The sequence below is a fragment of the Homo sapiens genome, chromosome 7, assembly GCF_000001405.40.
Source record: "Homo sapiens chromosome 7, GRCh38.p14 Primary Assembly".
NCBI classification, from domain to species: Eukaryota; Metazoa; Chordata; class Mammalia; order Primates; family Hominidae; genus Homo; species Homo sapiens.
The window spans coordinates 116,471,783-116,496,064 of NC_000007.14; the positions used below are offsets into that span (position 1 = coordinate 116,471,783).

A 24,282-nucleotide genomic window follows, 5' to 3' on the forward strand; every position below is an offset into this window, starting at 1 on the left:
TTTTCTTTAGTTGCTTTTTAAAAATATCATTTTCTGGTAGTTTTCAGATATTTGATTATGATGTACCTTGAGGTGTTTATGTAAGCATTGTGTGCATCTATCCTGTTTGGGGTCCATTTAAGCTTTTGGGATCTGCGGATTTAAGTTTTCATTAGTTTCGGAAAATTTGGAGCCATCATTTCTTCACATATTTTTTTAGTGCCCCTACGATCTAATTATACCTATATAAATAGGTCTGTACAATACTGTCCTCAGAGGTCACCAAGGCTCTGTTAGTTTTCTTTCTTTTATCTCTTTTTGTTTTCAATAGGTTCTATTACAATATATTCAAGTATGCTGATCTTTTCTGCTGCGCTATTCATTCTGCTATTACTCCTATCCAGAATTTTTTTATATATTGTATTTTTTATTCCTATAAGTTCTATTTCATTTTTTTAACAATTTATGTTACTTCCCTCACTATGCTCATGTTTTTAATAATAAACATAATTATACTGGCTATTTTAACATCTTTATCTGTTAATTCTAACAACATTTGTCATTTTGGTACTTTTTCCTATTTACTGATCTGTATCCAGTTATGGGTATATTGTCCTTATTCTTGGCATGTTTACTAACTTTTATTGGATGCTAGATATGGTAAATGTAACACTCTTAAGCATCTAGATATTGTTTTCTTCCTTTACAAAAACAACTTGAATATCAATTTCATGACTTTCAGGCCTGTTTATTCGCTTTGCTGGAGAACGTCTAATAGTAGCTTCACTCCAGTGCTGGTTCACTCCTGCTTGTAAGGCAGGACTCCAGGAGTCTCCACCAAATTTCCCAGATCATCATCAAGGACTTCATTCTGGAAGGCCAGAGCTCAAATGTCTTCCTGTCCTTTGTGAGCTCTGGGAATTTTTCAGTTTGCAACTCCTTGGCCATCCTTAGCCCATCTTCGTGGAGCTTAATTCTACACATGGGCAGCTTGGTACTCAACAAAGATCAGAGAGGAGCCCATGCAGGTTTATGGAGTTCTCTTATTGAGTGCCCCCTTTTCCAAAACTTTGCTAGCTGCCTCAGATTCTCCAACTCTGGTCTCCATTTTCACAACTCATCAATGATTACAAGATCTGTTTGGATTTTCCTCCCTGTGCCAACAGTTAGAAATTGACTCTAAGAAGAAAGCCAAGACAATCATAGGATTCGTAGTTGTTACTATTCTCAGAAAGATCACAGCACTGTGCTGTTTTTCTCCAACCACTAAAGATAGTTGTTTTATTATTTTGTTTAGTTGTTTAATTGTTCACTATGGAAAGTTAGAGCTGGTCTTGGATACTTTGTTTTTAACCAAACTTTGATAAAGGATTTTTTCCAGGGTGGGATTGCATAGTAAGTATGGACTCATACTAGGTGGAGTTTACATGGCAACTTCTCTTAGAAATTGCTACACATGGGCATTCAAATTGGTAATAAGGAAGTCAAACTGTTGCTGTTTGCTGATGACATGATCATATACCTAGAAAACTGGAAAGACTCATCCAAAAAGCTCCTAGAACTGGTAAATAAATTCAGCAAAGTTTCAGGATACAAAATTAACATACACAAATCAGTAGCTCTGCTATACACCAACAGCGACCAAGCTAAGAATCAAATCAAGAACTCAACCCCTTTCACAATAACTGCAAAAAAATAAAATAAAATACTTAGGAATATACCTAACCAAGGAGGTTAAAGATCTCTACAATGAAAACTACAAAACACTGCTGAAAGAAATCATAGATGAAACAAATGGAAACACATCCCATGCTCATGGATGGGCAGAATCAATACTGTGAAAATGATCACACTGCCAAAAGCAATCTACAAATTCAATGCAATTCCCGTCAAAATACCACCATTATTTTTCACAGAATTAGAAAACACAATTCTAAAATTCATATGACACCAAAAAAAGAACCCACATGGCCAAAGAAAGCCTAAGCAAAATGAACAAATCCAAAGGCATCACATTACCCGACTACGAGGAAGCCATAGTCACCAAAACAGCATGGTACTGGTATAAAAATAGGCATATAGACCAATGGAACAGAATAGAGAACCCAGAAATAAAGCCAAATACTTACAGTCAACTGATTTTTGACAAAGCAAACAAAAACATAAAATGGAGAAAGAACACCCTATTCAACAAATGATGCTAGGATAATTGACAAGTGTACACTGCTTGAGTGAGGGGGTGCAGAAATCGCCACTAAAGAACTTATTCATGTAACCAAATACCACATGTTCCCCAAAAATCTATTGAAATTTAATTAAAAAAATGCTACCTGAAGCAACGTCTTGTCATTACAACTTCAATATTTTAACAAAGCAATGTATTGTAATTACAACTTCAATATTTTAACAAAGACATTTACTGTTATGTTATAACTGGTTGTAGACAATCACCTCTGACCGCACTAAGCTCAAAAGTACCATATATCATAGACAACAAATATAGCCATTTAAAATTAATTTAATTAAATTCTTCACATGTAGAAGAATGAAATTGGATCCTCATCTCTCACCCTATTTTAAAAAATCAACTCATAAAAGATCAAAGACTTAAATCTAAGACCTGAAACCATAAAGATTCTAAAATATAACATTGGAAAAACCTTCTAGACATTAGCTTAGGGAAAGACTTCATGACCAAGAACCCAAAAGCAAATGTAACAAAAACAAAGATAAATCGATGGGACTTAAGTAAAGTAAAAGGCTCTTGCACAGCAAAAGAAATAATCAGCAGAGTAAACAGACAACCCACAGAGTGGGAGAAAATCTTGACAATGTATACATCCAACAAAAGATTAATATCCAGAATCTACAAGGAACGCAAACAAATCAGCAAGATTTCTTCCCATCAAAAAGTGGACTAAGGACACAAATAGGCAGTTCTCAAAAGAAGTTATACAAATGGCCAACAAACATGAAAAATTTCTCGACATCACTAATTATCAGGGAAATGCAAATCAAAATTACAATGCGATACCACCTCACTCCTGCAAGAATGGCCATAATCAAAAAATCAAAAAATAAGAGATGTTGGCGTGGCAGTGGTAGAAAGGGAACACCTTTACACTGTTGGTGGGAATGTAAACTAGTACAACCACTATGGAAAATAGTGTGGAGATTCCTTAAAGAACTAAAAGTAGATCTACCATTTGATCCAGCAATCCCACTATTGCGTATCTACCCAGAGGAAAAGAAGTCATTATACGAAAAAGATACCTGCACGTGCATGTTTACAGCAGGACAATTTGCGATTGCAAAAATGTGGAACCAGCCAAAACGCCCATCAACCAGCGAGAGGATAAAGAAAATGTGGTATGTATGTGTGTAAAAATATGGAATACTACTCAGCCACAAAAAGGAACAAAATAAGGCATTTGCTGCAACCTGGATAAAATTGGAGACTATTATTCTAAGTGAAGTAACTCAGGAATGGAAAACTGAACATGTTCTCACTCATAAATGGGAGCTAAGCTATGAGGACACAAAGGAATAAGACACTGTTGGTGGGACTGTAAACTAGTTCAACCATTGTGGAAGACAGTGTGGCGATTCCTCAAGGATCTAGAACTAGAAATACCATTTGACCCAGCCATCCCATTACTGGGTATATACCCAAAGGATTATAAATCATGCTGCTATAAAGACACATGCACACATATGTTTATTACAGCACTATTCACAATAGCAAAGACTTGGAACCAACCCAAATGTCCATCAATGATAGACTGGATTAAGAAAATGTGGCACATATATACCGTGGAATACTATGCAGCCATAAAAAAGGATGAGTTCTTGTCCTTTGTTAGGGACATGGATGAAGCTGGAAACCATCATTCTCAGCAAACTATTGCAAGGATAAAAACCCAAACACCGCATGTTCTCACTCATAGGTGGGAATTGAACAATGAGAACACTTGGACTCAGGAAGGGGAACATCACACACCGGGGCCTGTCGTGGGGTGGTGGGAGGGGGGAGGGAGAGCGTTAGGAGGTATACCTAATGTAAATGACGAGTTAATGGGTGCAGCACACCAATATGACACATGAATACATATGTAACAAACCTGCACATTGTGCACATGTACCCTAGAACTTAAAGTATAATAATAAAATAATAATAATAATAATAAAAAGAATGATACAATGGACTTTGGGGAATTGGGGGAAAGTGTGTGAGGGGGTGAGGGATAAAAGACTACACATTGAGTAGAGTGTACACTGCTCAGGTGAGGGGTGCATCAAAATCTCAGAAATCACCACTAAAGAACTTATTCATGTAACCAAACACCACCTGTTCCCCAGAAACCTATTGAAATTTAAAGAAAAAGAAATTGCTACCAGAAGCAATGTCTTGTAATTACAACTTCAATATTTTAACAAAGACATTTACTGTTATGTTATAACTGGTTGTAGACAATCACCTCTGACCACACTAATCCCAAAAGTACCATATATCAGAGACAACAAATATAGCCATTTTTTTGAAAGCCATTTTATAATAATTTAATTTAGCCAAAAAGTTTGTAATTTTAGATTACATATGCACACAGAAATTTATTATCATCACAGTACAGCCAAATTGTCACTTTGTTTCACCAGTGTGTGTATATATGTATACACATATTCAAATTGTGACGGCTTCATTAAGAATGCTAAGCTGTTTAAAGCATTCTCTGATTGTTTCTAATACTCCCAAATGGATTCCACCAATGTTTCCATTTGGCCAATCTGACATTCAGCTGTGTCACGTAGTGGCATCCAACATCCTCTCCTTCATTGAACCTTACTGAAGAACCTAACGCCTGCTCCACTGACGGTGACACCAACCCAAAAGCTGTGCCATGCATGCTGAATCCTGAAGATCTCAAAACCATTACACTTTGGGATTCCAAAGCAGAACTGGACCCATGAAGAGTCAAGGAGGAATGGGTCTCAAAGTATCTCCAGTATGTCCATAATATTACAAAATCTTTCATGCAAACAGGTTTTCCAACTTCTTGCTTTTCTGTTCTAACCCCAAAGGTCCAATTCCAGTCCAAAGAGCTAGGCTGGGAATATATTCCATGCCATCCCTTCAATTTTCCTGGTTGGCCCATTTTCTACGATCCCTGCCTTCAACCAAACTCAGAGCTTGGTGGCAAAACAGATGCTGCATGCATACCAACAGGACATAGACTGACTGTGTGTGTGTGTGTGTGTGTGTGTGTGTGTGTGTGTGTTCATGTGCAAGTGTACATGTCTATGTTTTGACTGGGGGTGAAAGGGAGGCTATGGAATGTTTTACATTCCAGGAATATCTGCATCACAATCCAGACAGTGAAAAATACATTTTAATAGGCTATTAAAAACTCACTGAAATTTCAGAAGCCATCAAAATGGTACCTACATAATTTATAGTTTATAATGTATACATTTTACTCTTTTAAATTCCTTTAGTATTTTCAAAATCCAAAGGATTCTGAAGTATCTTAAAATAATTACCATTTTAAGACACTTAAAGTAAGCAATTTAGGCTGGGCGCAGTGACTCACGCCTGTAATCCCAGCACTTTGGGAGGTTGAGGTGGAAGAATTGCTGGAACCCAGGAGGCAGAGGTTGCAGTGACCTGAGATCACACTACTACACTGCAGCCAGAGTGACAGAGTAAGACTCCATCTCAAAAAAAAGAAAAGTAAGCAATTTAGATGCTCACTAAGGTGTCATTTTAATATAAAAGAGTATAATGAGTCATAGCATGCACAAGTTAGAAGACAAAGAAAATTGTGAAAAATATGCTCAAGAAAATATACTACAGAAAATAACCTGGGGAACTATGTAATAAATTCTACAATGCCTACAATTAAAGTAAATAAATATCAAACTCTACTATGCTGTGTAAAATATGCAGAAGAGCATCTAACATCTATTTTGCAAAGCATTTACACAGCTTACAGAATATTTACAATTCATAATCATCTTTTGTTTTACTTAGAGATGAGGTCTCACTATGTTGTACAGGCTTGACTCAAACTTCTGGCCTCAAGCGATCCTCCCACCTCAGCTGCCCAAGTAGATGGGACTACAGGCATGCACCACCACACCCAGCCACAAGAATTTTGTCAATAATACCTCTCTTATTAATGTTAGCCATGATTTGGTAAATATAAGCTCCAAAAAGCTAAAGCCATTTATTCAAATAAGTGACTTTATTAAAGTCATTGTTTAAAATTTAAGTACATCAAGAAAATGAAAATTTATAACAATATATTTCCTCTTAAATGTGAGTAAGCTTAGTACAATCATGCTAAGAAAACAAAATAATTTAATTGATAAGAATCATGTTTTGGCAAAAAAAAAAAGTCATCAATACAATTACTCTAAGATCACTAAAGAACTAGGAAAACAAGAGCATAATTAGGAAATCCTTTGTTCCAGGGCATGATGAGATGAACTTGCCTTATAAAGTCATTTATCACAACCCTAAGTTGCATAAATGTAATGATAAAAGGTCCATTACCAAATTTGCACTTGGAAATCATTTCAAGATACCCTCCCTTTGTGGAGCGGGGAATAAACTTACATGCCAACAAAATATATGAGATATAGAATAATCTTCAGAAAATATAGCTAAGTCAATGTGAATGCTAGTAAAACTTTTTAAAAACATACAAAAAAAGAAGGAAATGACAAATAGTTCCCTTAAACTTTTCAAGACTTTCCTTCACCAAGCTTCAACTTAAGGCTTTTCTCATACAACTGGAATAGATTTGTAATTTTTCCCCCTTATAATTCTCTTTGATGACCTCCAGATTGTAGGACAGCACATCCTGCCAAGCATTTTAAGTGCACATTCATTTTGTTACATTGAAAAAACCCTAAAGGTTCAAATTCTATCTAATTAAGTACATTCCTCATCTCATGGTTCAATTAATTTCACTCACCATAAAGCATATGTGAGTCTCTTCCAGCCACTTCCTATTTAATTTATTTCAACTCCCAGAAAACTGGCTCCTTCTTAACTCACACTTCCAGATTACCCTATTTCCTTATAATTCACTGTTCCCCTATCCCCCTTCTATAGGGGGATATATAGATTAGTATATAGTTTATATAGTATATAGATTATTACTTTTATTTTCGTTTTATAGTTGAGAAAGATTATTACTTTCATTTTCATTTTATAGTTGAAAAAGTGAGCACTTACTATGTGTCAGGTTCTATTCTAGTCCATTGCCATCTACTCTCCTCTGCTGAGGAAGTGACAGTTCTGAGTTCTATCACCATTGATTCAGATGGCTGATTCATTCTTGATCTACATATAAACGGAATCTTACAGCATATACTCTTTTTGTCTGGCTTCTCTGCTTAACATAATGTTCTGAAGATTTACCCACATTGCTGTAGGAAGAGCTGGTTTGATTCCCAGCTCAAATACTCTAGTCATGAGACCTCCACACAGAACTGAAGCTCCAAAGGAAAAGGAACTTTTATCTTTTTTGCAGTGTTCTTTATCTTGATTAGAGTGATGATTACCCAGTTGTAGACATTTGTCAGGATCCATCAAGCTCTATCCTTGAAATCTGTGCATTTTACTACATGTAATTATGGCTTAAAAATATAGTAAAAAAATTTTCAAACTCCTGTTCTCCCAACCATACTTTCTCTTCATTTATCAAAGGCTTCAACAACCTCTAAACTATTTTTTTTAATACTTTACATTCTAGGGTACATGTGCACAACGTGCAGGTTTGTTACATATGTATACATATGTCATATTGGTGTGCTGCACCCATTAACTCGTCATTTACATTAGGTATATCTCCTAACGCTATCCCTCCCCACTCCCACCACCCCACAACAGGCCCCAGTGTGTGATGTTCCCCTTCCTGGGTCCAAGTGTTCTCATTGTTCAATTCCCACCTATGAGTGAGAACATGCGGTGTTTGGGTTTGTCCTTGCCATAGTTTGCTGAGAATGATGGTTTCCAGCTTCATCCATGTCCCTACAAAGGACATGAACTCATCCTTTTTTATGGCTGCATAGTATTTCATGGTATATATGTGCCACATTTTCTTAATCCAGTCTATCATTGATGGACATTTGGGTTGGTTCCAAGTCTTTGCTATTGTGAATAGTGCTGCAATAAACATATGTGTGCATGTGTCTTTATAGCAGCATGATTTATAATCCTTTGGGTATATACCCAGTAATGGGATGGCTGGGTCAAATGGTATTTCTAGTTCTAGATCCTTGAGGAATCGCCACACTGACTTCCACAATGGTTGAACTAGTTTACAGTCCCACCAACAGTGTAAAAGTGTTCCTATTTCTCCACATCCTCTCCAGCATCTGTTGTTTCCTGACTTTTTAATGATCGCCATTCTAACTGGTATGAGATGGTATTTCATTGTGGTTTTGATTTGCATTTCTCTGATGGCCAGTGATGATGAGCATTTTTTCATGTGTCTGTTGGCTGCCTAAATGTCTTCTTTTGAGAAGTGTCGGTTCATATCCTTCGCCCACTTTTTGATGGAGTTGTTTTTTTCTTGTAAATTTGTTTGAGTTCTTTGTAGATTCTGGATATTAGCGCTTTGTCAGATGAGTAGTTTGCAAAAATTTTCTCCCATTTTGTAGGTTGCCTGTTCACTCTGATGGTAGTTTCTTTTGCTGTGCAGAAGCTCTTTAGTTTAATTAGATCCCATTTGTCAATTTTGGCTTTTGTTGCCATTGCTTTTGGTGTTTTAGACATGAAGTCCTTGTGCATGCCTATGTCCTGAATGGTATTGCCTAGGTTTTCTTCTAGAGTTTTTATGGTTTTAGGTCTAACATTTAAGACTTTAATCTATCTTGAATAAATTTTTGTATAAGGTGTACGGAAGGGATCCAGTTTCAGCTTTCTGCATATGGCTAGCCAGTTTTCCCAGCACCGTTTATTAAATAGGGAATCCTTTCCCCATTTCTTGTTTTTGTCAGGTTTGTCAAAGATCATATGGTTGTAGATGTGTGGTATTATTTCTGGGGGCTTTTTTTTTTTTTTTTGTAGTTTACAGACGTAAAACAGGATCCTGGCAGTTCAGCCTGCTCTCTAGCATTCATTAACATGCCACAGTCTAGCAGGCAGATCACCTTGCACCAAATTCACCTTTAAATACTTACCCTTTGCTAGTTTTTAAATTGTGTTCCCAGTCCTTTTCTCAAGCTTCATTTTATTTTAGTCTCTAGTCTTCCTAACTCTTGCTTCATTTGTCTTAGGTTATGTTCGTATTCTTCCATTTAATATGGACACGTGTGCCTAGTATGGTAATTTGATGTGCAATAAACATTGGTTTATTTAGTTTTCTCCTGTTTTTCATTTCCATTGTGATCTATCGTGTCTTGCTGTTTCTAGTCAGTTGACCACACTTAGTTTCTCCTTCCTGTAATCTGCTGTCCAAGTAAACAACTGCTTCACTTTTATGATTCCGAGATGTTCACTTAAGGTTCTCACTTACTTCCAAGTTTTGAACCTGCTTTCTTATTAGTCTGAAAGAAGACCAGAACACTGCTTCCCTCAATATATACACTTTCTTCTTATAAATGAAAATTTCAGCAAATACTCCGCTTTTAGTAGACTAACTCCTCCACCAGCTGTCCAAACATTTGAAGGTCCTGCTTCTCAACTATGTTTTGCCTTAGTGCTACTATTATTCACAGCTCCCTACAGGGTAAGAGGTCTATAGTATACATCCTCACAAATATACTTTTGGTTTCTCTCTCCAATGGAGAGAGAATACTCAGAAAATCATAATTGGAGGGCCTTCTCAACACTGTTTCTTCCTTTTCTATTAAATCCATTTTCTAAAGAAAAAAATTATAACAACATATATTTATTCAAGAATAAATAAGTTCATTATATTATTATTGACCCTATTTCAATGATATCTATGGGAATTATATTTCCATGCTTGTTGTTACTTTTTAAATTATCTATTTATAAGTGTACATATGTGAGAATAAATAGTGGTAAGGTTTAATCTGACAGTATTACATTAATAGTATCAAACAAGTTAAATATAGTTTTGAGTGATATAGTTTTGATAATACAGCATAAGATTTTGAATTAATATGAATATAGGAACTTTTATAATACTTTAAAATAAAACCTACCAGTTTAAGTTGAAATTCAATAAAATTATTAATATTCAGATAATGCATTCATACATATACATATACATATTATACATATGCATACATGTAATTTCTTAGCTACATCTCTAATGATTAGATAGATAGGGGAAAGAATCCATTCTGAGAAAGAAAATGGTACTATTGGGTGATGAGCAGAGTCCTCAGAGAATAAAATAAAACAGTTCATTTCTGTTTCTATCAAGTCGTTTATCAATTCCCACTATATCTGTCTTCAAAGTGCTTTTTTGCCCGTTATTTCCCCCAGGGTCCTGGCTCTCAGACAAGAAGAGAGGATAGCACTGGAACCTCTAGATCCCTTTTCTTAACTTGGACTGCAACAACAAAATATCAGAGACTAGATGACTTAAACAACAGACACCTATTTTCTTACAGTCCTAGAGGCTGAGAAGTTCGAGATCAGAGCACCAGCATGGTCGGGTTCGTGGTGAAGGCTTTCCTCTCAGCCCACCATATGGCTGGCTGCCTTCTCACTGTATCATCACACAGCAGAGACGAAAATCTTGTGTTTCTTCCTCTTCTTATAAGAACATTAATCCCATCATGGGGACTCTACCTTCATGATATCATCTAAATCTGATTATCTCCCAATGGGCCCACCTCCTAATACCATTACATTGGGGGTTAAGGCTTCAACATATGAAATTGGGGGAGACACAAACATTCCTTTTATGATACTTTCCAATTCCTTTAGAAACCTAGAAACAATTCAGCTACAAGACACAATTTTCACTTACACTGCCACCTCTTAAAGCTCTAGTGTATTGTTATCCTCACCTAGCTGGACATTCTGCAGCTGCTCTGCAAAAATACTCTCCATCCTTCCCTACCTTGCTCAGTGCCACAGAGAGCTAGCTTTGTGGGCTGCATCCAGAATGCCCCTGACCTTAGTCTTCTAGCTGCGTCGGCCAAGTAGAGGCCCTGCAAAAGATCAGAGTAAAGAAGAAGAATGAATCTTAATTTTTTCCTTCAAGGGCCCACCAGTATCTGTATTTCTCTTCCGAAGGCCACACTATCAGGTAGATTTTGGGTTCAGCTCACCAGCCCTTACTCTGTCCTTCAGGCCTATGGTTGGTAACTGCCTCCAGCTGGTGCTGGTGCTTCCTCTTACCTGTCCCACACCCTTGAAAATACCCCCTCATTGCACTCCCCTCAATGACATCACCCATTTCCATTCAGGACTTTGTCTGTGTACACAGTCCCAGTCTCCTTTCTCCATATCACCCCAAATCTCCTCCTATTAGCCTAGTTTGTCACGAGCCTATGCCCCAAAGGGGGAAGGGCAAGTGCCAAGCCATAAGGAAGGGTCAAGGGCAGGAACAACCCACGCTGCCTCATAAAGGAGTGGCTTGTATAAGTAATAAATTCAAGTCACACGATAAACAGAGATCTATGTATGGACATTATTAAGAGTTAAAAACTGACCATATTTGGCTTAAAAATATGAAAATCTTACCCAGAGTTAAAGCTTTGCCTCTCAGCTGCCAAAATAAACACTGCAGTATACTTACCAACTTCCAACTCTTATAATGTTAGAATGTAACCACTTCTCTGAAGTTTTACCTGCTATAATTTAGGCATAACTAGGTTTTTCTTTTAACTTGAAAAATATGCTTTTAAATTGCTTTTATTATATTGATGGGACAATTAAGAAATGATAAGAATCACTCTGTGGGGGAAATCAAGGGCTCTCAAAGAAGGTTCTCAAAAGCAGGCTTGGTTCAAGTCTCATCTCACTGGAATCATTGAGAAGCATCTTCTGGGATCACTTCCAGAAGGAGAATGTACTCAGAGACTAAACAGCTGCAGGTTCTACTTGCTCCCCTATTCTTCCCCAACTCCAAGATTTTTAGATAAAATTAGGCCCAAAATTAATATAATGAACAGCATAAAATGGAAAAGTAAGTAACAGAAAAGAAACCTGAGGGGTTGGAAAGTATCCTATCTTGGTCCATTGCAATGTTCTCTTTTTATTTTCAATATCCACTGAGTTTGGAAAAACGTGCCCCTTTGTAAATTTCTAGGTTGACATATAAAATGCCTTCTTCACCACAGTTTAAATAGCTGCACAGAAAGAAATTTCCAGAATATTATAAATACTAACATTACCCTTTTAAGTATATCCAATAAAATATAAATATTACATCAATATGATGCCATCATCATCTATTTTACAAACATATGAGCAAATACATGCTCAACTCTTCAAGTGTCAAAAATTTGGCTTGGTCCTTTTTTTCCTCAAAACAATTATTCTGTGTGATTTCTCCTGCAGAATCTATAATAGAATATTATTTTAAAGTAATTTTTTATTATACTTTAAGTTCTGGGATACATGTGCAGAACATGCAGGTTTGTTACATAGGTATACATGTGCCATGGTGGTTTGCTGCACCCATCAACCCATCATCTACATTAGGTATTTCTCCTAATGCTATCCCTCCCCTTGCCCCCAACTCCCCGACAGGCCCTGGTGTGTGATGTTCCCCTCCCTGTGTCCATGTATTCTTACTGTTCAACTTACGAGTGAGAACATGCGGTGTTTGGTTTTCTGTTCTTGTGTTAGTTTGCTAAGAATGATCATTTCCAGCTTCATCCATGACTCTGCAAAGGACATGAACTCATTCTTTTTTATGGCTGCATAGTGTTCCATGGTGCATATGTGCCACATTTTCTTTATACAGTCTATATTTAATGCTAAAATTATTTTTGATCACCTTAGCATATTTCTCTGCCACAAAAATACGCCTATAAAATGAAATTAATTTTTGCTGCCTATGATAATAATACCTAAGAATTACAGGTTTCCTTCTGGAGTATTGTTTTAATTATTAGTAGTTCACAATAATAAATAATAGTAATTACTATTAAAAACAGTAGTATACATTTTATTTATCAATTAAAAACAAATTTTAAACTGTAATAATAGTATATAATTGATCAATAAATTATAAGTAGTACACAAATTTTGGTGAAAATTGCTAAACATAAAAAGAATAATGTATTGGAAATGTTTATTTTAATGAGCTGGATTAGAGGTAATGCTTATGCACTCTGATTGAAGAAGATTTTGCTGCCAGTCCTACTGTAATTTCTCCTTTCCCCACGTCTTCCTCCTGGAGGCTTTTACACTACCGAGTACAGCAGCATGGTGAGTTCAGGATGGGTCTGCATTTCTTTGTAATTCTTTATATTTCTGTATAAAATGGGAAAGGAGCAAGCTTTTTTTTTTTTTTTTTTTTTGAGATAGCATCTTGTTCTGTCTCCCAGTCTGGAGCCTGCAGTCTTGACCTCCTAGGCTTAAGCCATCCTCCCACCTCAGCCTCCTGGGTACCTGGAAGTACAGGTACACACAACCACACCCAGCATTTTTTGTTTGTTTTGTTTTGTTTGGAGAAATGGAATCTCACTATGTTGTCAGAGCTGGTCTCAAACTCCTGGCTTCAAGAAATCCTCCCACTTTGGCCTCTCAAAGTACTAAAATTACAGGCATGAGCCACTGTGCCTGGCTGAAAGAAGCAAATTTGAAAAAAAAGGAAAACCACAGACACAGATCAGTTATCTGGCAAATTAGTTTTGGTAGAGTATATAGAGAAGTCAAACAAATGAAAACTGATTCCCTTAAAACTACTTTTCAGTGAGCCAAGATCACGCCATTGCACTCCAGCCTGGACAACAGAGCCAGACTCTGTCTCAAAAGAAAACAAAACAACAACAAAAACAAAAACAACTACTTTTGCTCATATGCTCTTTGGTTAGCTTCCAAATATCTCCCAATAGAATCTATAGATGTTATTGTATTTGTCCTGTTGGCAGACATGAGAAAAACTCCCCACATAACTCTCTGAAACAGCAGCACACGCCCCCTTGCAACACACTCCCCACCACAGGGAATTGCCCAATTCCGTTATCTTAGAGATGCTGTTTCACTTAATCAACAGATTCTGTTACTCTAGGAATTAAAAATTGATTTGGTAAAATTTCAATTACTCAAATACTGGTAAAGGTTATTCTTTGTCTGGCCGGACGCGGTGGCTCACTCCTGTAATCCCAGCACTTTGGGAGGCCGAGGCGGGCGGATCATGAGGTCAGGAGATCGAGACCATCCTGCCCAACATTGTGAAACTCCGTCTCTACTAAAAATACAACAACAAAATTAGCCAAGGGTGATGGCAGGCACCTGTAGTCCCAGCTACTCGGGAGGCTGAGGCGGGAGAATGGCGTGAAGCCGGGAGGCGGAGCTTGCAGTGAGTGGAGATGGCCCCACTGCACTCCAGCCTGGGAGACAGAGCAAGACTCTTTGTCTTAAAAAAAAAAAAAAAAAAAGTTTATTCTTTGTCAATATTGCTTCAGTTATTTTCTTAAGACAATTTAAATCAGCCCAGCAAAAATGAGCAATTAACTGAACCAGTCAATAAGCCAATCTTTGCTGGGCCCAAACTACATGTTCTATTTTGTATTAGATCCTGATAAGGTTTCAAAATAAATAAGAGGCACAGACCTTATCTTCTACAGTTTTTCTGGAGAAAAGAGTATCATGCCCCCAGAAAAGATATAACTAATAGCGCAATACACTGTAAGTTCATTCCCACATGACAAATCCAAGGGAAAAAAATAACTATGTAATATTAAGTTTATAAAATGAAATAAGAATTTTCATAGTGGAGAAAATGTTTTAGGTTAAAAACTATTCAACTTTTAGCTTAGAAGTCTGATGTTGCTCTTTGAATGGCATATGTGTTGGCTAACATCTTGTACAAAAATGCTAGTGACTAGGAAAATGTAAATCAATAAAATACCATTTCTCATACACTAGGATGGCTATAATTAAAAAAACACATAATAACTAGTATTCATGGGGACATGGAAAACATGCTAGTAGGAATGTAAAATGGTGCAGTCACTTTGGAAAACAGCCTGGCAGTTCCTCAAAAGATTAAACATAGAGTTAACATGATTCACTCCTAGGTATATACCCAAGAGAAATGAAAACAAGTGTGTATTTTAAAACATAGATACAAATGTTCAAAGCAGCATTATTTGTTATAACCCAAAAGTGGAAATAACCAAATGTCCATTAACTGATGAACAGATAGCATTGCTAAAAAGGAATATTATTCACCAATAAACCTTGGAAACATTAGGCTAAGTGAAAGACATCAGTCACATAAACCACATATTGTATGAATTCATTTATAGAAAATGCCCACAATAGGCAAATCTACACAGACAGAAAGTAGCTCAGTAGTTGCCTAGGACAGGAGGAGATGGAAAGCTCGGGTGATGTTAGCTAATGCGTCTGGATTTCTTTTGGGGTAATAAAAATGTTTTAAAATTTATTGTGGTGATTGATGATTGTACAACTCTGTGAATATACTAAAAACTATATTGTACACTTCAAATTTGTAAATTATATGTTAGATTAATTATAGCTCAATAAAGCTGTTATTTAAAAAAAGAAACATAAATATGTCTAAATATTTTTCTGTATTTATTCCAACTTTTACTTATTCTCCCAAATCATACAAACTACATACATTTCCTTCTATGATTTTAGTCTGGCATTTTTTGAGGCATTTCACAGCTATTTGGGTAGAACCTGCAGCCATGTGGGTGGCTGTTTCCCTGGCTGGTGCTCCAGGGTCAGCCCACTCCCCTTGGAGAGGCATGTGCCACTCCCATGGATTTGGAATGCTATCCACCTGTTTTCTCCGGCCCCCCACTTTTGTTTGTTGTTGAAGAACTAGCAAAGTCCTGACTATCCAAGTTTCTCAAATTAATTATAACTTTCTGGTGTTATCAATCAGAAAATCAGTAGGGAAAAATTCTAAACAATAATTGGCCCACAACTAACTTTTTATTTGCCTTTGAAATAATGTGTGCTTTTAATCACAGATTTAAATTATTAATTCCATTTTGGATACAATATGAGCACTCCAATTGCAGAATGTTCACACTGAAGAGGGTTGAAAGGAAACTATCTGAGGCATTTCTAGTATTCAGAGGAAAGCAACTACAGAATTGAACGTTTGTTTGAGAATCACCATAAAATGTGTAATTCATATGCAGATAATAAAAGATTCATGATTTGATCTTTGAGCTTCCAGAACAATAGCACCTCACTGTGTAGAAAAATAAAGCCAACTATATTACGCAAGCACACACCTTAAATATTTTATTATTGAAAAATTCCTTTCAAATAAGTGTGATATCTCACTGGATGAGTCCAGGACGATGTATAAAGAAATGTGGGTTTATAGCCTGGATTCAACATTTAATAATCATGGAAACTTCGTCAAATCTGTGAACTTCCCTGAGCCTCAGTTTTTTTGTCTCTAATATGGGTGTAATAGCAATAACCCGGCCTGCTCACAAGATAGTTCTTAGGAGCAATGTGACAGTACTTGCAGAAAAATGTAAAAGATGTGTATAATATTAAGAATTATTACTCAGATGAGCAAATTGGACCTTATTCAGTATGAGGCCCCCTCCCTCCCCTCCCTTTGGTTGCCTTATTTGTAAGCATTGACCCTCTAAGTAGGCTAAAATTTATTGAGTATCTTTTCTGAAAATTACAGAGATAAACATTGTCTCAAGCATTTTCTTTTATTATTACGTTTCTGCTATTTGTCATTGAAGAACCCAACGATAAGAGAGGTTGACTAACAACCAAATTTATACCTGAGTTTTAGATCAGAAATTAAAACCTGGGAGGCCGAGGCGGGTGGATTACGAAGTCAGGAGATCGAGACCATCCTGGCTAACATGGTGAAACCCCGTCTCTACTAACAATACAAAAAATTAGCCTGGCATGGTGGTGGGCGCCTGTAGTCCCAGCTACTTGGGAGGCTGAGGCAGGAGAATGGCGTGAACCCGGGAGGCGGAGCTTGCAGTGACCAGAGATCGTGCCACTGCACTCCAGCCTGGGCAACAGAGCAAGATTCCACCTCAAAAAAAAAAAAAAAAAATTAAAAGCTAACTCTAAACTTACATTTTTTTTTGTAATACACCATGCTTTTGGGGGAAATTCTCCCTTCTGTAATCTAAACAACCTCCCTTCCTTTAAAACACTCACATTAGAGGATCCACCATCCATAGCTCCTGAAAAGGGAAGAGGATGATGTGAAGACGATTATCAAGCTAGGGTGGCGATACGTCCTAATATGCCTAGGACAGTCCCTGTGTAGGCTGATTGTAATTATCCTGATGTAATTGTGATGTAATTATCAACAATTCCGCCCTCTCTTTTTACTCTCAAAAAGTTTTGGTTTGAATCTGAGGTGGTTAACACTGACTCTTTACAGTGAAGGTTAACCAGAATCACCAAGAAATTACATATGTATTTCTCAACTGTCATCCCTACATATCAAAGTCATAGATTTCTAAACGTGCTAAAGATGTTCTTCAGCTGGGTGCGATGGCTCACACCTGTAATCCCAGCACTTTGGAAGGCCGAAGCAGGCGGATCACTTGAGATCAGGAGTTCAAGACCAGCCTGGCCAACATGGTGAAACCCTGTCTCTACTTAAAAAAAAACAAAAACAAAAACTAGCTAGGCATGGTGGCACATGCCTGTATTCCCAGCTACTCAGGAGGCTGACGTGGTAGAATCACTGGAACCCGGGAGGCAGAGGTTGCAGTGAGCCGAGATCGCGCCACTGCACTCCAGCCTGGGTGACAGAGGAGACTCTATCTCAAAAAAAAAAAAAAAAAGATAAAAGGAAAAGAAAAAAGAAGATTTTCTTTAAGTTTATGTAGTTAGACTAAGCTTTATGTACATGTCTGAAGAAGATAAAGTCCTGGTGAATAATTAGACTGAAGAGGCAGGAAAGACAAGAGAAATAGAGAGCACATAAATGAAGAACTGTGAGACAGCATGTGTTAACATACTCAGAGAAAAATAATCTACTGGCTGATAATAAGATATGTTAAAAGGCAGTCTGGAAAAGCAAGATATTTCCTCCAGCATTTGATGTTTTTTCTTCCTAGGAGGCAAGTAGAGTGGATAAGAGTGCATTTTTCATTCCCCAAAGAGACATTTTAGCAAGGTTGATTGTTTTGGCCCTTGTGTTTTCCTATGAGTGTGTGTTTGCCAGGGACCCACCTCTTGGAAAGAATATCAGTTTCAAACCAGTACTCAATTATGCTTTTCACTAACTCATAAGTTTAAAATGACAGCAGAGATCTGTCACCTTTTACTCTAGACATTGCCAACCTCAATATTTTCTTCTACTCTTGTTGAATTATCTGTTTTTTTAGATAATTTTTTTGTTTTTGCTATTCAAAATCAAAGTTTTACATACATATAGTGAAAATGTAATTGTAACTCTGATTCACTGCTGATGGGGGTGTAAATTAATATAATCACTTTATAATACGGCAGTAACTAGTATTATCGAATGTGTATTTACCCTTTAATGCTTCAAATATTTTCTTAGATATAAACCCAACAGAAATGTGTATACATCTAAACCAAGACACATATTTAGAAATGTTCATAGTAGTGTTATTCATAGCATCCCCAAACAGGAAGTGGCCCATATTCCATCAACATTAGAATGAATAAATAAACTGTGGTTTGTTCATACAATAAAACACCATGTGCAAAAACCAAGAATAAGATGAAATGAAAATGAAAGAATTACTCCTATTTACAACTTGGATGAATCTCACAGTCATGTTTACCAAAATGAACTAGACACAATAGAGAGTAATGTATAATTCTCTTTACAAAAAATTTAAAACAGGCAAATCTAATGCATGATGTTAAAGGTTAGGATAGTAGTTACTTTGTGGGAGGAGGATATAGGTGGTGACAGAGATAGGCTTCTGAGGTCTGGTGATGTTCTATTTCTTGATCTGAGTGAAACTTATAAGGTGTGTTTTCCTTGTGATCTTTGGGCTGTATACTTATGATTTATCAGTTTTCTGTGTGTGTGTGTGTGTGTATATATATATATGTGCATACACACAAGAATATTCACTAAATTGTGCATCCTTTAAGGTTCTTTGGCTACTCTGTAGATCAAGTAAATTATGAGAAGGGAGTGGGAATGAACACCCAAACATGGAGCCTGTGGAGGTTTCTCAGGTGAGATCTGAACCCAGACCAGGGAGGAGAAGTGAAATGGGAGAGGGTGAAAGCACTGATTTTGAAGGTAGAACTAACAGGCCTCATTGGAGAAGAAGTAATGAGGGAAATGGAGGAATGAAAGCTGACACGTAGGGTTTGAGGTTGACTGACTGTGTGAACACAGAATGATCAGATTTGGGGATGGGAGTCCACAGGTAGGTTTTGGGGCATAGGAAATCTGAGATGTCAAAGTTGTCAGCATGATATATCAATTTGAAGCTTGAAAATAGCTAGAACTATAAATTTAGAACTTGTCAGTATATAGATGGTATTTATAGCCATTAAATTGGAATGCCTCATAAGTCTGTTCTCAACCCTTCCTTATTCAACATTTTATCAGTCACCAGGAATAGAGGTGTAAACAAACCCACAGATTAACAGTGAAGTAATACACAGAAAACAGTGTAAAAGGAAACTCAAAGCATGATAAAATAGAGTAGGTATAATTAGTTGCCTTAGGTTCAAATAATCAATTGTTTCATACTAGCAGTGTGACCTAACCAAAATACAAAAGACTATAAAAGACATAAAGATTTAATTTCAAATGAGATGCATTTGATTCAACAATAAGATACAGCAGTCTAGAGAGCAATACAAAAAAGGTAATATAGTTTTCTCATTTTATCCTGTGCTCTTCCAACCCCAGACCAAGTGTCACAAGATATGGGAACAGCTTCAGAGAAAAAGAAAATTACAAGAAATATTTGGAAACAGTGACACGTGAAAAACAACTGAAAGAAATGGAGCTGCTTAGCTAGAAAAGAGATAAAGTGGGGAGAGGGACTGGTGTTTAAAATCTACCTTCAAATACTTCAAGGGTGACATTTAACACCTTTTTCTTAAAAAACTACAAAAGGCAGAATTAAGACGAGATGATAGGTAGATAGATAGATAGATAATCAGAAAAATAAATCCTGACACAGAATAACACAGAATTTTCTAAGAATTATATTTGAGTTGCCTAATAAGGTAATTCTCCATTGCCAAAATATTCCAGCAAAGCCTGTATGGCCACTGTGAAGATTCATGGATGAGTGGATCGTTGGTCTAGAGCCTCTAAGTTCTTCCCAACTCTGAGATGTTATGAATGGACAAGCAATTATTTTGAAAAGGAAAAAAAAAAGAATGTAAGAAACAGAGAGGAAGGAGCAGGAGAAAAGGGAAGGAAAGGGAAACATTTATATTATCAAACACTTTCCCTGGCAGAAAAAGACAAACTAACAAGTAAACACTGAATAAATTTAGGGGAAAATAAGATTTGCGACAGGAGTGTGGTCTTCTAAAGCAGGTTTTAATATCCTAAAACATCTCCCTATGCCTAAAAGAAATTTCCTGGATTTTATTCTTTTCCTAAAGAACAGCCCAGCTGTGGTAAATAATCAGCATTCTACAGTTTTAAGTAATTTAAACCTATCAGTCAGTCATTTGACACCTCTCATTTCTTGTGTTATATCATTTTTTCAACAACATGACTTGCAATACACACATGGTGAAATTGGAGAGGATTTTACAAAATGATAATATAATAACTCTATTTTTGCCCCAAACATTTAGCTATTTGTGCTCTACTCCTTCAGAAAATACTTTGCTTTCATAGTAAAAGTCTTCAGAACCAAGTAATTTGAGTAGCATGCCCTTTATAGCAACATTCTGCAAATTCTACTATTTCCAAATAAAGTAGTGTGCAGTTTTTCAGGACCACAATGTTTTACTATCTAAGTTTATTTCTGGTAACCTATTTATCCAAGAGATTCCAATGACTGCAATACTTTTTAAAAGGTAAAAAGGCATACCTTTTAGTACTATGTGTAATTATATGAACGTATATCGATGGACAATAAGTAACAAGCAGAATTTTACGTATATTCACTATTATGAAGTGGGGGGGACTCCCTCTGTCTATCTGGCACATAATTGTTATCATTTCCAAAAAGTGAAATGGTAACATAAAGATGTTATAGAAAATAGTGCATATTTCAGTAAAATGTTTCTTTCAAGGTCAGCATGATGAGAATATTCCGAATGCTTTGAAGGATTCTACTCTTCCTCCTCTTTTTTTAAAGAAAATGCAAACATGTACTAAAGTTGCTTTTGAAATAAGACATTTATCCATTTAGTAATTGCTTAACTAGAGAAGAATTACTTCATTCAGACACTCAAGAATGTCAACAGTCTTATTTATAATGTATTTAATAGAGTACCTTCTTTATTAACTACCTGTAGATCCAAACTTCAGGCTGTTCTAAACAAGAAACTAAGAACTTAATAAGCAGTTAGCAGACACTGAGGGTCTCATTGTGCTTCAGTGGCCCAAAAAGAGTAGATACAGACATCTAAATTGCCTATTTTATGCCTTTATGTATTGTAGAAATCTGCCTTACTGTTTTGTGTAGCCACAGAACAGAAATAGACTAACTTTTTTTTAGTAAACTCTCTGGAAACAAAAATCTTCCCAGATATTTATTGTTAGGAAAATATAATCTAAAAATTCTTCTGCCCAACCCCTTGGCTGCATCCCAGTCTTCCATCTGCTTTGTGCAGTTGGATTCCCTTTGCTCTTTACTCATAAATGATTCTCTCAAGCATTAAAAGTCACCTGATAGACACCAAAGCCATAATTTGCAAGATCCAGGTGGAAGGCATTTTGTACTTTTGTTCTTACTTTTATACTGGAAATATGCAATAAGGCTAAAATTCGTTTTTTAAAAAAAGACTTCCCATTTTTTTTCTCTTGGCTAATGTAGTAGATTAGCTATGTTATTTTCAAAAATTTGCATTAACTCTAAATAAAAAACAGAATAACATTTGTAAAAAGAAAAAAGATTAGAGAACACAAAGGCTTCAAACTGAGATACAATAAATTTTTTGTCCAAAATTAAATCCCAAATCAAGAAAACAACCTTTAGATCTGTTGTTTTAGCAACTAATAATCTGCTGTGCACATTTCAGTTGGTATTTGGAAAACATTTAACTCTGTAGCTTTGTAGAAATGATATTCCCACTTGAACATAGAGGAAATTGTACTTATTGAGAGTTTAACTCAAGAGTTAGTGCACAACAAAAGTTCATTAGTGCCCATTTCATGTTCTGGAAAGATAAAATATCAGCATCCTATAGAGATGTCTTATTTGTATATACAGCATTTCAGAAATCAATGGGATACTCAAAAGATTAAACAGGAACATCCTTTACTTATGGAACACAGGATAAAATAAATCTAAAATTAATTGTCATACATCGTTTTTGAATGAGAACCAAATGACCTATCCTACCACCTCTAATTGTGAATACAGGTTTTTCAAGAGTGTACCTTCTTCCTCATTTATTTCTAATTGCCAGGCATTGCCAAACAAAAGTTAATTCTGGAAATTCTTGTAAATGAAGAGAGGTTTTTGATCAGAGAAGGTGTTGTTTGAAACAGCCAGAAGATCCAGCTTGCAACAATTACGGACAAGCTACTGTGTCTTAATATCAAGCTAAAAATTCCCTGGTCCACTGATGCAAGACTTATTTTACTCAAATTGTGAACAAAAAGACAAGTGGTAAATTAGGAGGGAAAAAAGTGAAGCAACTTTTATTAAATACCATGCAACCATCTGGCACCACTCCGCAAAGTTGATTATTGACTAACTTTAATAGCAGACATTTTTGTCTATTCCTTTAAACATTTTGTGGAGGAAATGTCCTCTGTATTGGGGGGGGTGGGGGGACAGTTGGAGGTGGGGGGCAGATAGTGGTTGAGTGTGAGTTGGAGGGTAGAAGGAGGAAATTAAAAGATGCATTGATAAAGCAGTAGGGTACAGGAGTTATGCAAGCAATAGTTTATGTAAAGCCACAGAGAGAGTGGCTTATGCCAGAAACAGCAGGTCCTTCCAAATTTCTCAAGCTTTGTCCTTGCTAACAGTAAGCAAGCCTAGGAGGGGATGCTTGAAGAACCTGGTAAGCAACTGCCCGGCTCTCCCACTAACAAGTCCATGGATTTCTCAGTTAAGGTTACTTAAAATTGCAAAAGCTATTCACTTGCTGAAGATTGTCAAAAATCACTGAATTTTATAGCTTTAAGAGAGAATCTTACAGATCAAGAAGTCCCAAGCCTGTATTTTTCCAGATATAATCATTTAAACAATCCTAACCTTTGTGAGGAAAGTATAGGAGGCCAGGCAAGGTAGACAGAGCTTGAGGCCTTGGCAGTTGCTTCCTTTTGATCTCTAGGGGAAGGGGGTGGGGGTTAATATGTATTCATTAATTAATACCAACATTGTATTGAAAAAATTGCAATTAGTCAATGATAATGGGTTCTTCTGAACATTTTACATGACAAACAAATATTCTTAAGTTTAATTTCAAAAAGACGTGGAGTTTCTTTCTATTTTTTTTTTTAAGATGGGCCTTGCTCTGTGCCCTCAAACTCCAGTCTACAATCTCAAACTCCTGGGCTCAAGAAATCCTCTTGTAGTAGCTAGGACTACAGGCATCTCTCACTACACCTGGCTAGTTTTTTTTTTATTTTTTGTAGAGACTGGGTCTCACTATGTCTCCCTCCTCAGCCACCCAGAGAGCTGGGATTATAGGTGTAAGCCACTGTGCCAGGCCTAGCCCTGGAGTTTCTAATACATTGGTGATACAACTCTGAGATTTCTAAGCATGGATTTGTAAATGAAGAGCTGGAGCTTAATTTTTCTAATTCACACAGCACTGTTTCAACATTGTCTTATTCAGTGGTTCTCAGCCTGGGAAAGAAGGAGAAAGGTGATTTTGCCCCCCAGAGGACATTTGGCAACATTTGGAAACATTTTGGTTGTCATGACTGGGAGTGTTATAGGTATCTAGTGGATAGATGCCAAGGATGTTGCTAAACATCCTACAATGCACTGGACAGTCTCTCAAGGAAAAATGATCTGGCCCAAAATGCCAACAGGGTTGAGATTGAGAAACTCTGGTCTAATCTG

General features: G+C 36.6%; 1 long non-coding RNA gene across 5 annotated transcripts in view; it reads right to left on the reverse strand.

The window, feature by feature from the left end:
* Window positions 1-24,282, reverse strand: part of CAV2-DT (CAV2 divergent transcript) — an 83,411-nt gene that overhangs the window by 55,677 nt on the left and 3,452 nt on the right. For 2 of the 5 annotated variants that reach the window (NR_188009.1, NR_188011.1), the window contains exon 2: window positions 11,031-11,121. The exons of 2 other annotated variants lie outside the window; for them this stretch is intronic. This is a non-coding gene — a long non-coding RNA (CAV2 divergent transcript). Of the gene's footprint in view, window positions 1-10,977; window positions 11,122-24,282 lie in introns of those variants that run through there. One more of the 5 variants, NR_188013.1, reaches the window with a different exon arrangement.